This window comes from Homo sapiens, chromosome 3 (assembly GCF_000001405.40).
Source record: "Homo sapiens chromosome 3, GRCh38.p14 Primary Assembly".
Taxonomy (NCBI): domain Eukaryota; kingdom Metazoa; phylum Chordata; class Mammalia; order Primates; family Hominidae; genus Homo; species Homo sapiens.
In genome coordinates this window covers 145,650,559-145,653,252 of record NC_000003.12, presented here as the reverse complement: position 1 = coordinate 145,653,252, position 2,694 = coordinate 145,650,559, and positions in this window count along the sequence as shown.

The window sequence follows — 2,694 nt, the reverse complement described above, 5'->3', positions numbered from 1 at the left end:
TGAATCATAAAGCAGTGTATCAAATGTATATAGCTGGATCTTATGGTGCTTACTCTCTAGAAAAATACTTCCATTTTTGAGTTCTATTTGCTTCCTATTTACATCTCTATTTATTCCCAACTCAATGGGGACTGTTTTAATTGAATTGTCTCTTAGTGGTACATATGCTTTCATTGGTGGTTACCATAAAAAAATCTTGTAAACTATTCTTACATGTGCCATATTAATATCCTTAAGATCACAGCATCTCTCTGCATCCTGTAAATGAAGACTTGCATGAGATTTAAATGTCTGTAAAGCTTACTTTGGTTAAGATATTTTTATGTACATTTACAATTTCACCTCAAAAAGTAGAAAGTCATATTTTTATACAGCGATTGCATGGCTTCCTTTTTATCTTGGCCGTGCCACTCTATTTTCATTTAAAAAATTACAAGTCATGGTTTTCAAATTATTTATACCAAGAAGATATACATATATATAGTGTGTGTCTATACGTATATGTGTGTATGTATGTATACAGTCAAATAAATAACATACAAACATACAAAAATGTAAGCCATTCTTTAATGTAATCCATTTAAAATCTTTAGGCATATACAAATGACAGATGTTTCTTATGAAGTTGCTATAGACTCAATGCCAGTAAATGGGAGTTAGACTAAATAGTTTTCATGGTGTTTTCTAATAAGAAAATTCAATGAGTTTATAAATTATCAACTAAATAAATGCATTAGTAGAAAGCTTCAGGTAAAATAAAAGCTAACTCTATGAACTTATTGCTCACCAACAAGATGAAAAGATGGCATCTATCCATCAATTGAATTTGGTTACATTGACCTAAATTAGCTCTAATAAAATAAGAAGATAATATAGATATAGATATGTAGATATATATCTTTTGCATGTGAAAATGTTCAATAAGGCATTTGAACAAAGCTTAAACAAAAATACTTCAGGAAATTATGCCAAATCCCAAGCATAAAACATAAAGGTTGTGTGACCTTCTATAATATGTGTGATGTAGCTTGTATCATTTATTTTGAGAAGTGCTTCATATTCAAAATTTTTAAATCAGTGTTGTGAGTCATGGTGTTTGGCATAACGATGTAAGTATGAAACCCTTGGACTCTGCCCTCAAGTAATTCAATATTGTAGAGAAGGCATATATAAAGAAACAAACACAATGCTTGGTGAGAGGGCATCAATAAATGTCTTAAACATATTACAGTAGCAGCACAGAGGAGAAAAGCAAGGTCACCAAGTGTATAACTCTTTCTAGTGATGGGAAAATCAGGTAAGGATTCATGGAAACAGAATATCTGATGAAAGTTTTAAAGGAGGGGCAAATGTCTCCTATCTGTCGTTATTTATAATTTAAGGCACTACAACTTTTATGCTTTCTTACCCAACCTTCCAAATACATACATATAGATATTTTATCAGATGGGTAAAATTATAAAGGTTTTGAGAAATGCACAATTATAGCTGAAAACTTTAAGATAGTAGTGTCTTCAAAATATCAACTAAGCTAGAGGTACATACTCAAGTTTCAGTAGTACCTGTAATAGCCTCTCCGATAACTTGCTTCTCTGTTTCTGATAAAATGCCTTTAAAAACAATGTCCTTTAGGGTTCAATGGACCATGAAATAGTTTCTGCAGAAGTACCCCTGGTGCCAGCACTGAGGCAAACATTCATTTTGGCTGTCAGCTATAAGAACTTGGAAGAAATGAAGCACATTTATTATGTACTGATATATTCTGACTAGATAATCCTTTTTAGTTGGAAGCACTATAAAAGCAGTGCAGATTACTGTTGGTGAAATAGTAAAAAACAAAATTCAGTCGAGCTGCAACAGTTTTGCTTCCAATTTCACAGCTGAATAATTTCCTTTATAAACCTCTATTAAAAAGTTTTGCTGGCAATGAGTATATTATAAATAAATAATTTATAATATAGTAAAGTTAGATAAATCAATGAACCCCCAAAATGACAATTTTCTATGTTTTCAAAATGTGATGATTCTAAGTGTTATATGTTCCATGGTTCAGTTAAGTAACTTAATTAATAAGGATTCACACTATTATTAGCATGAAGGTGTAATTATAGTTAAATTTTTGAAAACCTTTTTAAAGGAAATGTTAAATAAACATTTGTGTTTATAACTGTGGAAAATAAATCCTAAATATTGACTTTTCAGTATTCTGAAATATTAGAATAATAAACGATTTCCTGTTTACCCACAATCTTTAAATAAGTGGTAAATGTTATTAGAAGGTAAATAAAAGAGGACAAGATTAGCTTTTTAAGAGTAAAGTGTGGATTAACTTTTCAGGTGTTGAGCGCACATATTTTAAACACAGTAAAGTAACAGGCTGACCTGATTTTCATCTTTCGAAAGAAAGAGAGACACATTTAGTTGTACTTCGTATTATAGGAGGTGTTTTAGACATTTGCTAAACTGTTATGTTTTTAAATGGAAACTTCTTTGTCATTGCAGAACTATTCACAATAGCAAAGACATGGAATCAACCTGAATGCCCATCAATGATAGACTGGATAAAGAAAATCTGGTATATATACACCACGGAATACTATGCAGCCATAAAAAAGAATGAGATCATGTCCTTTGCAGCAACATGGATGGAGCTGGAGGCCATTATCCTTAGAAAACTAACACAGGAACAGAAAA